The sequence below is a fragment of the Homo sapiens genome, chromosome 8 (genome assembly GCF_000001405.40).
Source record: "Homo sapiens chromosome 8, GRCh38.p14 Primary Assembly".
In the NCBI taxonomy this organism is placed as follows: domain Eukaryota; kingdom Metazoa; phylum Chordata; class Mammalia; order Primates; family Hominidae; genus Homo; species Homo sapiens.
This window is the reverse complement of record NC_000008.11, coordinates 142686277-142699811: the sequence shown is the minus strand read 5'-3', so window position 1 is coordinate 142699811 and position 13535 is coordinate 142686277. Positions and strand designations below refer to the sequence as shown.

General features: G+C 41.0%; 1 long non-coding RNA gene across 1 annotated transcript; it reads left to right on the top strand.

The window, feature by feature from the left end:
- The first annotated feature begins 127 nt into the window (after positions 1-127).
- LOC124902032 (uncharacterized) lies at positions 128-13214 on the top strand. The gene is made up of 2 exons (XR_007061133.1): positions 128-8507; positions 9120-13214. It is a non-coding gene; the product is annotated as an uncharacterized LOC124902032 (long non-coding RNA).
- Positions 13215-13535: the final 321 nt, after the last annotated feature.

The following is a 13535-nucleotide window of genomic DNA, read 5'->3' as shown; positions in this document are numbered from 1 at the left end:
AGCTCAAATAAGAATTCCTCCTGGCGCCTGTAGTCCCAGCTACTCGGGAGGCTGAGGCAGGAGAATGGCGTGAACCCGGGAGGTGGAGCTTGCAGTGAGCCGAGATCGCGCCACTGCACTCCAGCCTGGGCCACAGAGCGAGACTCTGTCTCAAAAAAATAAAAAAAAAAAGAGAAAGAAAAGAATTCCTCCTAAGTCACTAGCTTTTGGCTCTATCTCCTGAGTGGCAGGTTCTGTCTTGTCTCTCTGAGATCCTGACTCTTTAAATAAAGGTTACTTAACCCTATACCTCTTGCTAGGCATCTCTTGTCTGAATTCCTTCCTCCAAGAAGACTAAGAACTGGAGGATTTCCATGCCTCTCACAGTGACAGTGCTACCCAAACATCAGGGTTGTCATCTAGGCCCCCTGCCCTGCACAGAAAGCCAATCACCAACAGCAGTGCCAGGGAAGAAGGCCTCATTCAAGTGCTACAGCCCAGAGATGGGCGCTCAGTCACAAATCCCTCTCCTCAGCCCACTAAAATTAGAAGTTTCCAGAGCAGGGAAGAAATGTCACCCTGTGTGGGAAAACAGGAATTAGGGAGAGTGAGGAGGCAGCTAGGCAGTCATGACTGGTGAGGGGTCTGGCCTCAAGGACCTACTGAGTTTCAGCGCCTTGATACTGTCTGGGAGGCCCGATGGTTGGTTTCCTGAGAAAGGAGCTCAGATAAGACAAATGTAACTTTCCCAAGTTTTAAGACAGGGTGGGCCAATTTCTATGTTTATTCAAAAGAAACCCTAAATACTAGTTTTACGAGAAATTGGGCCCATGTGAGTAGGCCCCAAAGGGCAATCCACAGGTGGTGTTCTCCACCCTGCTTTCTCCTCTCAACCCTCTGTATAGAGGCCCTCTGTTAACACAGGCAGGAGCAGGAATTTCACACTCTTTTCCTTTCTTTGCTTTCTTCTTTGTCTTTTTTTTTTTTTTACAGTTGTGATATAGTTTGGATCTGTGTCCCCACCCAAATCTCATGTTGAATTGTAATCCCCAGTGTTGGGGGTGGGGCCTGGTGGGAGGTGATTGGATCATAGGGGTGGTCCTTCATGAATGGTTTAGCACTATCCCTTTGGTGCTGTTCTTGTGATGGAGTTCTCACGAGATCTGTTTTTTTTAAAAGTGTGTAGGCAACTCCCTTTCTTCCTCCTGCTCAGGCCACGTAAGAGGTGCCCGCTTCCCCTTTGCCTTCCATCATGATTGTAAGTTTCCTGAGGCCTCCCCAGAAGCCAGCACCATGCTTCCTGCACAGCCTGTGGAACTGTGAGACAATTAAACCTCTTCTCTTTATAAATTGCCCAGCCTCAGGTATTTCTTTATAGCAATGGGAGAAAGGACTAATACAAGTTGCATCATATTCCATGGCCTGGATGTACCATAGTTAATTTAAATAGCCTCCTTGAATGAACATTTGTGTTGTTCACAGTGTTTTTATATCTCACATGTCAAAGTCAAATACATTATAGGATGAATCTCTAAACGTTTTATTCAGGAATCACAGAATTGTAATTCTGGGCGTACACAGACCAGAAATGTGTTTGGTGTGTCTGACGAACAAAGAGAAGGTTGAAAGTTTTATTTAAGAAATGTTACCTATTGTTTAGAAAGAAAACTTGTGGGCCCTGGTAGAGGTTTGGGGAGCTGGCAGGCTCTGATGGGTGAGTGACACAGTAGGTAGACCTTGTCTTTGAGTCACGGCAGGTCGTTCCAGCAGCTGTTAGGTGCACCTGATTGTAAAGTTGCAGCAGGCGTTTCAGCACTTGGGCTTGCAGATGGTTCTTGGAGCAGGTGCTGTCTGCCTGAGTGGTTTTCCTCTGGCCCTCTGCCTTGACTTAGTCGGGTATGACCAGAATAACTCAATTTATGAAGTCAACTTTCATATACATGACGCTGCAATTGTCCCTAATGTCATTCCTTACATATACCATTATACCACAGCTTTCCAGAAATGAGATCAAGGGACAAAAGTTAAATATATTTGCAGTTTATATGAGTATTGCCCAGTTGCTCTATCTGGTCTTTGGACAATTTTGTCATTGAGGAGTGAGTGCTTGTTTTCATGGTGGTGTCAGAAAGAATGTCCTCTTATTTACTCTTTGGATTTTCACCAATGTGACAGATGAAAATGAAAATAGTATCCGGGTGTATTTTTAATTTGCATTTTTAAATTATAAGTGAGCTTGAGCACTTGATATGGTTTGATATGTTTGATATGGCTAGTGGATATTTGCATTTTCCTGTGATCTCTCTATTTATGTCTCTCGTCCATTTTCCCGTTTAACAGACATTGCTTAACAGAAGACAATATTTGAGTTGCTGACCAATCCCGAAATAGTTGTGAGGTATGATATCAGCAGGACTTGTTTTCCGAGCCTTGATCATGACCCTGTGATCAAAACAGGATATAACAAAGAAACTGGCCCAAACCAGCTAGGACCAAGATGGTGACATAAGTGACTTCTAGTTGCCCTCATTGCTCATTATATGCTAATTATAATACATTCTCATAAGACACCACATCAGCACCATGACAATTTACAAATGCCATGGCAATGACCCAGAAGTTATATGGTTCATATATGATGCCAAAAAGGCTCATTACAATGGATCTTGGGAGTAATTTTTCAAGGAATATGAACAAAGTCTTCCCTCTGTGGTTAATTCATGAATGCTGTGTTGGAATATTCTGGATGGTCCAGACTTTCCTCTGTAATCGACGTTGAGCCCTGCACAACTTCAGGAGGGCGCCAGACCTCACTACTCTCAAGGAAAAGGCTGAAGTGGAGGAATTGATTCCCACTGATTTTTTTTTTTAATTTTTTTGAGACAGAGTCTTGTTCTTTCACCAAAGCTGGAGTGCAGTGGCATGATCTCGGCTCACTGCAACCTCTGCCTCCCAGGTCCAAGTGGTTCTCCTGCCTCAGCTTCCCGAGTAGCTGGGATTACAGGCATGAGCCACCATGCCTGGCTAATTTTAGTATTTTTAGTAGAGACAGGGTTTACCATGTTGACCAGTCTGGTCTCGAACTCCTGACCTCAAATGATCCGTCTGCCTCAGCCTCCCAAAGTATAGGGATTACAGGCGTGAGCCACTCCACCTGACCTTGATTTTATTTTTAACCATCCTGTCTGAGAGATTATTTGTGGAGGCTGACAGCAGATGTGCAGGGTTCAACAGTGCAGTATGCTGCATTTCTTCAGCTATACCTCATATTGTAAAGACTGTCCAGGTAACTCAACAAGCGGGAGGTAAGGGTTGCAGGTGGGATACTGTAGTACACCCCATTGGTCTAAAGGCACATTTCCTTCTTTTCCACCCACTGTTGCAGTCCAGCCAGGCATAACTTTAGGAGAATGTGGTTAGGTAAACATGTGCCATTTGGCACAGGGATATTTGAATTTCCTGGCATGAGGAGTGGCGGGACTTGGACTAGCTAACCATGAGAGTGAGTTAGTAGAGATGTGGATGCCGTCATGCTGATGGCCTGCTCAGAGTAGCACTGGGCTGTATTCGCCCAAACACCCAACAGAGCCTGGCCAAATGCAAGGCCCAGTCCGGTCTGGGGACTTCTCTGGAATGCCTGTGCCAGTATAACCGGGAATGTCCCTCAAACAGAGAGAAGCAAATTATTATCTCTTACTGAGCCCTTTGCTAAACAAGAAGCAGAGCCATGTGGACCTATGAGAGATCTGGAGACACAACATTCCCCATTGAGGAATACACCGCCCTTGCTATTCTGAATTCAAATGGGTCCCTGAACCAATAAAAGCATGAATGTATTTTCAAGAGGTGGTGCATGCAGCTTCATGCAGGCCTCCTGAGCCAGTCGTCCAGATGTGGTTAGGAATGTCTGCTATCAGGACACTTGCTGCCTGGGAACCCTTGGCAGAGGCCAGCACTGCCACCCAGCAGGGACCTCTGGTGTGTTGCAGCTGCTCCTCAAATGCCTCTGGAAGACAATAGCAACTTACGACTTCCTTACCAGGAAACAGCATCAGATAGCCTTCAAACCAGAAATGCCTCTCATGTCTTGATGTCAGAGAACCATTCTACCAAGAGGAGGAGCAGCCCAGCAAAGTCCATCAAACGGTGAGAGTATATTCCAGAGCAGGGGGCAGGAGGACGTTAGGGGAGCCTGTGGCTTCTGCAGCAGAGGCAATAGCAGAAGGAGAGGAGAGGGAGGAGCAGAAGGAGAGCAGAGGGAGAGCAGAGGGAGGAGCCTTCAAGGGCTGCTGTGTGTTCGGAGCCCAGCTAAAGCCAAGCAGGCCTCTGAGCTCCCTGCTAGGAGTTCATGTCTGCAGGGCATGTGGCTGCTTGGAAATTAGCCATGTAGACCTCACAGTCTGTCTTTGCCAGAGAAAGGCAGGGCAAACCATATTATACACCTTTATAACATTGTTTCAAATCCAGAAGTGTGATGCCTCCACCGTTGTTTTTCTTTTTCAAAATTGCCTTGGCTATTTTTTTTTTTTTTTTTTGTGGTTCCATGCCGATTTTGGATTTTTTTTCTTTTCTCTCTTTTTTGATGGGGAGGGATGGAGTCTCACTTTGTTGCCCAGGCTGCAGTGCAGTGGCACAATCTTGGCTTACTGCAACCTCTGCTTCCCGGGTTCAAGGGATTCTACCACCTCAGCCTCCTGAGTAGCTTGAGACTACAGGCGTGTGCTACCATGCCCGGCTAACTTTTGTGTATTTAGTAGAGTTGGGATTTTGCCATGTTGGCCAGGCTGGTCTTGAACTCTTCACCTCAGGTGATCCACCCACCTCGGCATCCCAAATTGTTGGGATTACAGGCGTAAGCAAACGTGTCCAGCCAGATCTTTCTTCTATTTCTGTGAGAAATACCACTGAAATTTTGATAGGGATCCCATTGAATTTGTACATTGCTTTTGATGGGATTACTAGAGAAACAGGAGTGTAGGAGAGCCAGAGTGACGCCATTTTAAAGCCAATTCCATTTTAAAACAAGCAAGGCAATTCCTTGCCAGTCACAGCCCATGGTCACAGGTGTTGACAGCTAAGGAGGGAGTTTAGTAATGCCTGCAAGGACTAACTCCTACAGCAACAAAATGTCCAAATGCGCCAATATCTAATAACAATATGTGCTTTTAAAATAATTAGAATCATGCTTTGATGTACTTACTCACTAAAATCCCAAGGATAGTTTACTTTAAATCAACAAAGTAATAAGTTTTGTCACGCTGTCAACCCACCCACACATAGACTTAACTTAGCTTTTACATAGATAAGACCCCTACATGAGAGGAGTTTAAAACAAAGACAATGCGTTCCTCCTCTTGTTTTCTGAGGATGCCCTACTCTGCATCTGAGTAGCTTTCAATAAATGATCTCTTCTCACTGCACTCTGTGACTCACCTGAATTCCTTCCTGTGCAAGACTGAAAAACCCTCTTCCAGCAACATCTTTCTGGCGATGCACTAAGGGACCATAAGATGAGACTATGTGCTGGGGAAGTTTTGTCTGCAGCACCAGTTGGCCACCTCTGGTAAATGGGGTCCTTCTTGGCATCCTATGTCATGCTTAGACAAGGATGCTCGCCTAGAAACTCAGGTTAGAGGCTCAGCCCACAAGGTTAGATGCCCTGGGGTATATCTGGAACAATGGAAGTCTCTTTGCAAGATGTTTGTCAGTACATGATCTGAACTAATCCACCTTGTGCCCTCTGCTGGGGATGGGAAAGCTCTACTTCTCATCATTTCCCAGCTCATTGCTTTGCTGTACTGCAGCCTTGGGGCAGCCCCAAATGGCTGGTCCAGAGGTTTCCACCTTCCAGTGGCGGATTCTAATGTTCTTTATGTGTTTCTCTCTGTTCTTTTCTGCCTGCTTTGGATCTGCTGTTACTAATCTGCTGCCGAGTGGCAACTCTGCTTATCTCACGGTGTTGAGGTGAGACTCACTGTTTTTGGTATTACTAATTCAAGGCTACCTGGAGATTGTCTTTTCTTGTACAGTTCAGCCAGTTCTGGCTAAAATGTATACATTAAAAACTCATTTAAAACTGAAGAAAAAAATGATGAAAAGGTTTTTTTTTTTTTTAAACCAAACTTCCTTAAAGACTACTTTACCAAAACTTTGGTCCACAGCTTTCCTTGGATTGCGTGTTGGATGTCTGGGTCATTTCCAATTAAGAAAAGTTTATGCTATGGGAAACATGTTTCTAGAATTGTGGAAGGGTCTTATCTATAAAGTGCTAACATCTGGCAAACAGTGCAGGATCTCTTGCTTCCTCAGTTTTCCCACTCACGGATGAGCGAGTGCGCTTAGCTGTCCCTTCCCTTCCCTTCCCGCTCTGGTTTCCTGTATGCAATGTGCTCAGCCTTCCAAGCCTTGGGACACACAGGGATGCTCATGCTCCTTTATGTTCCCCTAGGGACTAGGGGTTAGTGGACCTCACCCAGAGGTGTGGGATCCTTTGGGTTCTGTCTGCTGGGGAGCCTGGAGCCGGGGATCCTCCAGGTCAGCCACCATCCTGTTACATGGGGCTCTTCAGCCTTTCGGGTCCCAGGGCTGCAGTGCCACCCCAGTGGAAAGCCCATTTGAGACTCAGAGGGATATTTGCCAGCATGTCCTGCTGGGTCTCCCTCGTCCCCTTCATTGGCTGCATATTTGCTGTCTGTGCCTCACTAGTGATGCCCGTCATCCTGAGCTTGCATGCTCTGAAGTTTATGCCTGCCATTTTCCTTCTCCTGGTGATTTTCTTTCTTTGGGTTATTTAATTCAGCATGTCTCTGGGCAGCATTGGAGGCCAAAAGCCTCCCAGGAACTAGTCTTATTGAGAAGAAAAATAATTTTGTCTAATTCAGAAGTTATCTAAAGGTCAATTCAAATGATGAACTTGAAAATAGTTACTTATGAAGCAAGGTAGAAAGGAGCCAGTAAGTAGGGGAGCGAGAGATGTGAATAAAAGTTATGGATATGAAGATGTATTTTTGGTAAGGAAGGTTATAAAGAATAGCAAATAATGTATGAAAAAGGATCTCGTGTGGTAAATTTTTGTCCTAAAGTAAAATGACTAATGATTATTAGTCATTAGCCATTAATATGACTATTATTATTAGTTATTAGTCATTAATGACTAAATGATTATTTAGGAAAGAGAGAAGGTTAGGGCAAGGCAGAAAGTCCAAGCACATCTAAGATGGTCTGTGTACACTGGGATAAAGTTCGTGAAGGGGAATTTATGAAAGGAATTTTGTATATGATTAAGTTGGTTATAATTGAAAGGAAGCCATTTATAACAGTCTTTCTAAAAATTGGTCGCCTACGTTAAAACAAAGTTTTCTTGAGGTACTGATTTGCTGTGAATGAAGTTACAAGAAATTTTACTTTCAATTTTATACCCCGTTTCTCTTCTAAACTTCTCAGATCCATATTTCCGACATTCCATTTTTTCTGTCTCACTGCTTTCAGCTTTTTCCCCCTTGAGCAGGCCTGAGATGATGACCTTCTCCTTCAGCATTTTTTGTCAGCTCCTGCACCCCTTTTTTCCTCCAGTTTTAACTGTTGGAATGACCTGATGCTAAAGTTTTATCTTGAAGGTCTAGAAAAGCAATGTTTTCTTCTAGTATAACTTGATTTTATATTCTTGGCTTTTCTTGCTGTGTCTAAATTTTCAGTGTAATCAGAAAACTTCTCATGCTGTTCCTAAGGGTCACATATGCTCATAACCTTAAACACTGTTCCTGTGTCTGATTGCATTCAAGCACTTCTTTCCTCAAGTTTGTCTTCCAGGTTATCTAAATGGGCTTCCTGTAAGAAGAAGCGGTCTCACTGCAGAAGGTTTTCCCTGCCTTTTTATTAGCTGGCTTAAAAAAAAACAAGATTTTATGTTTTTTTCACGATAATTCCTATACTGTCTTTATTAGCTTTATGATTGCAAAAAAACTGAAAGTTAAAAGGGTTAAGGTTTTTACCTCCATGTGACTTTCTCTATTGCTTGTTAAAGTCTTTATGATTATTACTCTTGGTTAAGTGTATAACTATTACAATGACCTGTGATTTTATGTTAATAAAATGTTTTGAGCCTTTTAACATCTTAGAGAAATATCCTCAAAATCAAAATCTTAAATTTAGTCTCTGATTTAGTCTTATTGCTGGGGCTTATTAAGCCTATAGAAATTAATCTCTGCAAGGTCATAGACTCTTTCTAGAACTTTCTGGCAGACCATGAAGTCCAGTATCACCACCTCCAGCCTGAAAATTATATATTGGAAGAAAAATCAGTTAAAGGATTCCCTCAGCCCCCTTGAAGCTGTCCTTATCAAGAGTTATTAACCAATGCTTGTGCTTAGTTAATAACCTGTTGTAGGGCTTTGACTCCTGGACACACATATCTAAAGATGGCACTGACTTCTACCAGTATCTGACAAAAACTCAAGTTAACTGAAGGCTCGTCTTTAGACCTGGGCAAAGGGGACAACGTAAACTGCTTTCATGAGACACAAGGACAGGTCTGTATTCCAAAACATTATGATTCATTTCATAATTTTGCCTTTATCTGAAATAATATAATTTGTTCTATGTCTATGTGGAAGGAAAATATCTTGGGCCCCCAGAATCACTAAGGTAGAGGGAAAATTCAAGCTGGGAACTGCTCAGGGCAAACCTGCCTCATAGTCATCCCTCTGCTTGTATTCATAGTCATCCCTCTGCTCACTGAGATAAATGCATATCTGATTACCTGCTTTGGAAAGGCTAATCAGAAACTCAAAAGAATGCACTGTTTGTCTCTCACCTGCCTGTGACCCGGAAACCCCCTCCCTGCTTTGAGTTGTCCCACCTTTCCAGACGGAACCAGCATGACTCCCTAAAATGCAGAAAACCAAACTGTGCTCTGACCACCTTGGGCATATGTCATCAGGACCTCCTAAGTCTGTGTCATGGGCGTGTGTCCTCAACCTTGACAAATTAAACTTTCTAAATTAACTGGGACCTGTCTCAAATTTTCTGGGTTCATATTTGGTAACCATGGGGGGATTCTGAGTGGAGGTGCCCCTGAGCTTTGACAAATCTTGTATTGATGCTTGGTACATCATGAACTAATTTATTGCTCAAATCAATAGGACAATTTGCTGAGGTCTGCGAGCTGCCCCTCCAGAGAATCCCTGCTCTCCCAAAATTTGGTCAAGATCTCAAGTTTATTTTGGTGTACAACTCCTTTATTTTGGAGTTTTACTTTCTTCCAACAAGGAAGGGAAGTTTTCCTGCTTCCGTGATAATGGAAGGCAGGTAACTCCTTTATGGAGTTTGAGCTCACTTCCAACAGCGAAGATGAGATTTTTCCTGCTTCTAGGATGGTGGAGAGCAGTCTTCAGCCTGAGACCCATCCCTGGGTAAGTAACTGAATTGGGGTTTGTCTTGGCTAAAGTTAAAGTTAACAACCAGCTGGTCTTAATTTCTTTTTACCATTAGAGTGTTCAGTGATCATGTAAGTTGTGCCATTGTTTGTTTTGCTTAAGGGTTTTTTTTTTTTTTTTGGTGTTTGTTTGTTTCTGTTTTTCCTACTGTTTCTCTTGTTGTTTCAGTCTTTTGCCCATTGGGTTTAATCAACTCTATCCAACTTGATCAACTCTGAAGGGAAGTTCCAAATTATGGGGAACAAGGCCTCTGAAGTGACTAAATTCCACCCCCCGCCTCCCCTCCACACACACACACAAAAGGTGGTATGGTTGGGGGAGAAAAACAGCCAGCAAAAGGAGAAAAAAAGGAAAGATTTTTGATTTTGACTACTAAAGGGGTTTTATTTACAGAACAAGGCCACTTTTTTGCTAGCAGGCCAAACTGAAACAATGGCAGTTGCCCCACGCTGTAGTTCCATACCTAAGGCTCTGCTTTCTTTTCACCATGAGAGCCTGGGTTTGGTGGGTTTGGTTCCTAAATCAAGCCCTTTCTGGTTTGATACTTGGTACCTCTGAAATAGCAGCAATTTTTTCTGACTAAAATACGGTAATGAAATTTAAATGGATTATTTTAAAAAGAGCTCAATGGTTAAAAGTCAGTTTAATTAAAAGGCTAACATCCAAGATGTACGTGTGTGTGTGTGTGTGTGTGTGCGTGCACGCATATGTGTATGTTTGTCTTTGAAAGGTCTTCATGTGTTTGTTTTTTGGTTGTTTTTCTCCTCTAGGACCTTGCCTTTTTTTTTTAGCAAAAGTTTTTTTCTTCTCAGTTGACTGAATTCTGTTATTACCTGATTGTTTGACTAAAATAGATACTGCACAGAGGCTACTCTGGGGTTTTTAAGGAAGAGTGTAGTTTAGACACTTAAAAATGTCTTTGTTTAAAACTATTTTTTAAGTGCACTGTAAAAGCATCACGTTGTCTAGCCTCATAATAATTCACCCTTTTTGGAGACCCAGGATTCAGTGTGGGCTCTACCCAGAGCTCAGATATCTGGTTAAAAAAAGAAAAACAGGTAGTCTCTATCTAAATAAAATCAGTCTTCCTATGTAATCCAACAATAAATTTCTGTAATTTTATTACTGAGTTGGCATCCATCTTTAATCTTTCTCTAGCACCACCAGACATTTTCTCTGTGTACCTGATAATGTAAATTTTGCTATTTGACTTTCACCTGATATGCAGATTTAAGGCTATTTAGCTGACAACTGTCTAGGGTTCTGAAACAGGTTATCAAGAATCTGAAAGTCTAAGATATGAAAAAAGAGGTTTTTATGAATCTATAAGATGTACTTTTATCAGCATGCCTAATATGTCTGTATTTATGTGTTGTGTACACAATGTTTCACTATGAAAAATATATAAAAGAGCTCTAATTAATTGGCTCAAAGTGAAATAATTCAAAAAGCAGCTATATTCATTAAATCAATATCAATGATTTATACTTAATACGTAAATACTTTATCAGGAAAAAAGGAAAGATTAGTCAAATGCTTTTTCAAGTTTGCATAACTTAAGTAAAATTATTAATAAATGAGCTCGCTTTAAAATTATTGGTAAAGTAATATTAGAAATGTCAGCATACATTTTTGTTTGCAATTATTAATCAAGCAATTTCATACTTACCCCTGCCAAATAGTATAAGTTGTCAAAATTTGGCAGAGGGTTTACAAAACTATAAACCCGGCCCAAAACATAATGATATTTGCTTGTGTAATCTTTAATAAATAAGTCATTGATATTGATTTAATGAATATAGTTGCATTTTGAATTTAGTAAGATTATCATAACTTCTAATTCTGTGGCTTTAGGCAGTCTAGTGCACAGGCAGTAAGGAAGTTTGTTTTGAGAAAGGACTGTTATAGTGTTTGTTTCAAAGCTAAACTATAAACTAAGTTCCTCCCAAAGTCCAGGAATGAACAAGGACAGCCTGGAGGTTAGAAGCAAGTTGGAGTTAGTTAGTCAAATCTTTTTTCCCTATCTCAGTTATAATTTTGCAGTGATGGTTTCATAACTTTAAATCATGACTATCACAGTTTTCATAAACAATCTAGGTAAACAAGGTAATTAGGTAAATGTAATGTGATACATACTTGTAGACAAATTTGTCATAATTTAGAATAGAAAGTTATATTAAATAATAGATATTTCACTATTTAGGTATTTTCCAATGAAAGTATATTGTAGGAAAACATTCTTGCTAAAAAAAAAAAGGTGTGTCCTTTTTAAAAAAAGGTGAACAAGTTTTATCTAATTTAAAGCTTATTTAAAGGTTATATATAAAACGAGGTAAAAGAACCAGAAAATAAGAGAGATGTAAAGAAAGTTATAAAAATAAAGAGGTATTTTTTGTGTTAAGAAAGCTTAAAGAGAAATAATTTTATATGAGAAAGAATCTTGTATGTTAAGTTTAGTCCTAAAATAAAATGACTGATTAAGAAAGAGCATGTTCAGGACAAAAGACAAAGTCCAGGCATGTGATGAATGCTCTGTATAAGTCATAGTAAGAGGATTTTTTTTTTAAAAAAAAACAAAAATTTGTATATGATCAAGTTGTTTATAAGTAATGGGAAATTATATTGCTCTTCCTAGAGATTGGGCTTGATGTAAAAAAAAACACTTACGCACTAAATTATTGGTTAGAACAATGAAATTTTCTTAAGGGGTTGATTTACTCTTAACAAATTATAATAGATTTTAATTTTTTTTACTGAAAATTCAGCTTTTATTGCATCTCACCATTTGTTGGCTTTTTCTCCCGTTTTAAAAGGCACGTTTTCCTAAAGGTCTAAGGAAACGTTTTCTTCCAACATAATGTTCTGTGCACTGCAGAAGGTCTTTTCTTTTGCCTTTTGGTAAATGACCTAACAGATTTAACATTTTATTGAAATAATTCCTATGCCATTATTGTTAAATTTGGTTTGCTTAGGAAAAGGATAATTTTTTTTTTTTGAGACAGAGTCTCACTCTGTTGCCCAGGCTAGAGTGCAGTGGCGCAATCTCGGCTCACTTCAACCTCCACCTCCTGGGTTCAAGTGATTCTTCTGCCTCAGCCTCCTGAGTAGCTGGGACTACAGGTGCACGCCATCATGCCTAGCTAATTTTTGTATTATTAGTAGAGATGGGGTTTCACCATATTGGCCAGGCTGGCCTTGAACTCCTGACCTCATGATCCGTCCCCCCTTGGCTTCCCAAAGTACTGGGATTACAGGCATGAGCCACCACACCCCGCTGATATTTAATTTTTTAAATTAAAGTTATTACATTTGTGTATCTTCCTGTATGTGCTTTTAAAGTTCTTGTGACATTGAGTTACAGGGCTTTGACTGCTGGGTCTGAAAAGGACACCAAGTCCTGCTCAATTTTTAAACATTGACAGCAATTAAAGCCCCATCTTTGGGCCCAGTAGAAGATGCCAATCAAAATCAACTGCATTCCTGAAACACAGGGACAGAAATTAAAGCTATTCAACTCCTCAAGGCCCATGGACTGTCTCGGTAGAGGAGGGTGCGTGAGATTGTAAGGGCTGATTTTAAAGATAAAATAAGTTCAATTTCTCTATAAATTAATCATTAATGTTGAAGGCACACTGAAGCAAGACCAGCATATGGGCCCCTGAGTCAAATTAACAAGGTTTTCTTGAAGTATTAACTGTCTCCTATATAAAGATTGTAAAGGTTATGAAAGGCTTATGGAAGTTGTATCTTATGATCAAGATTAAAATTTTATAATTTTTAAATAAAATTTTGAAAAACAAATTTACTTGGCTTCTTGTGCACCTGTCCAAGATTAAGCCCGTTTCTTATGAGTCCCCACAGGCACCTGAGAAGGACACCATGGCCTACACTTGTGAACCCTTATAATACCTAAAGCTGTTGTTTTAGAAATAAACAGATAATGGGGCCAGGCGCAGACTCACGCCTGTAATCCCAGCACTTTGGGAGGCCGAGGTGGGCGGATCACGAGTTCAGGAGATTGAGACCACGGTGAAACCCCGTCTCTACTAAAAATACAAAAAATTAGCTGGGCGCAGTGGCGGGCGCCTGTAGTCCCAGCTACTTGGGAAGCTGAGGCAGGAG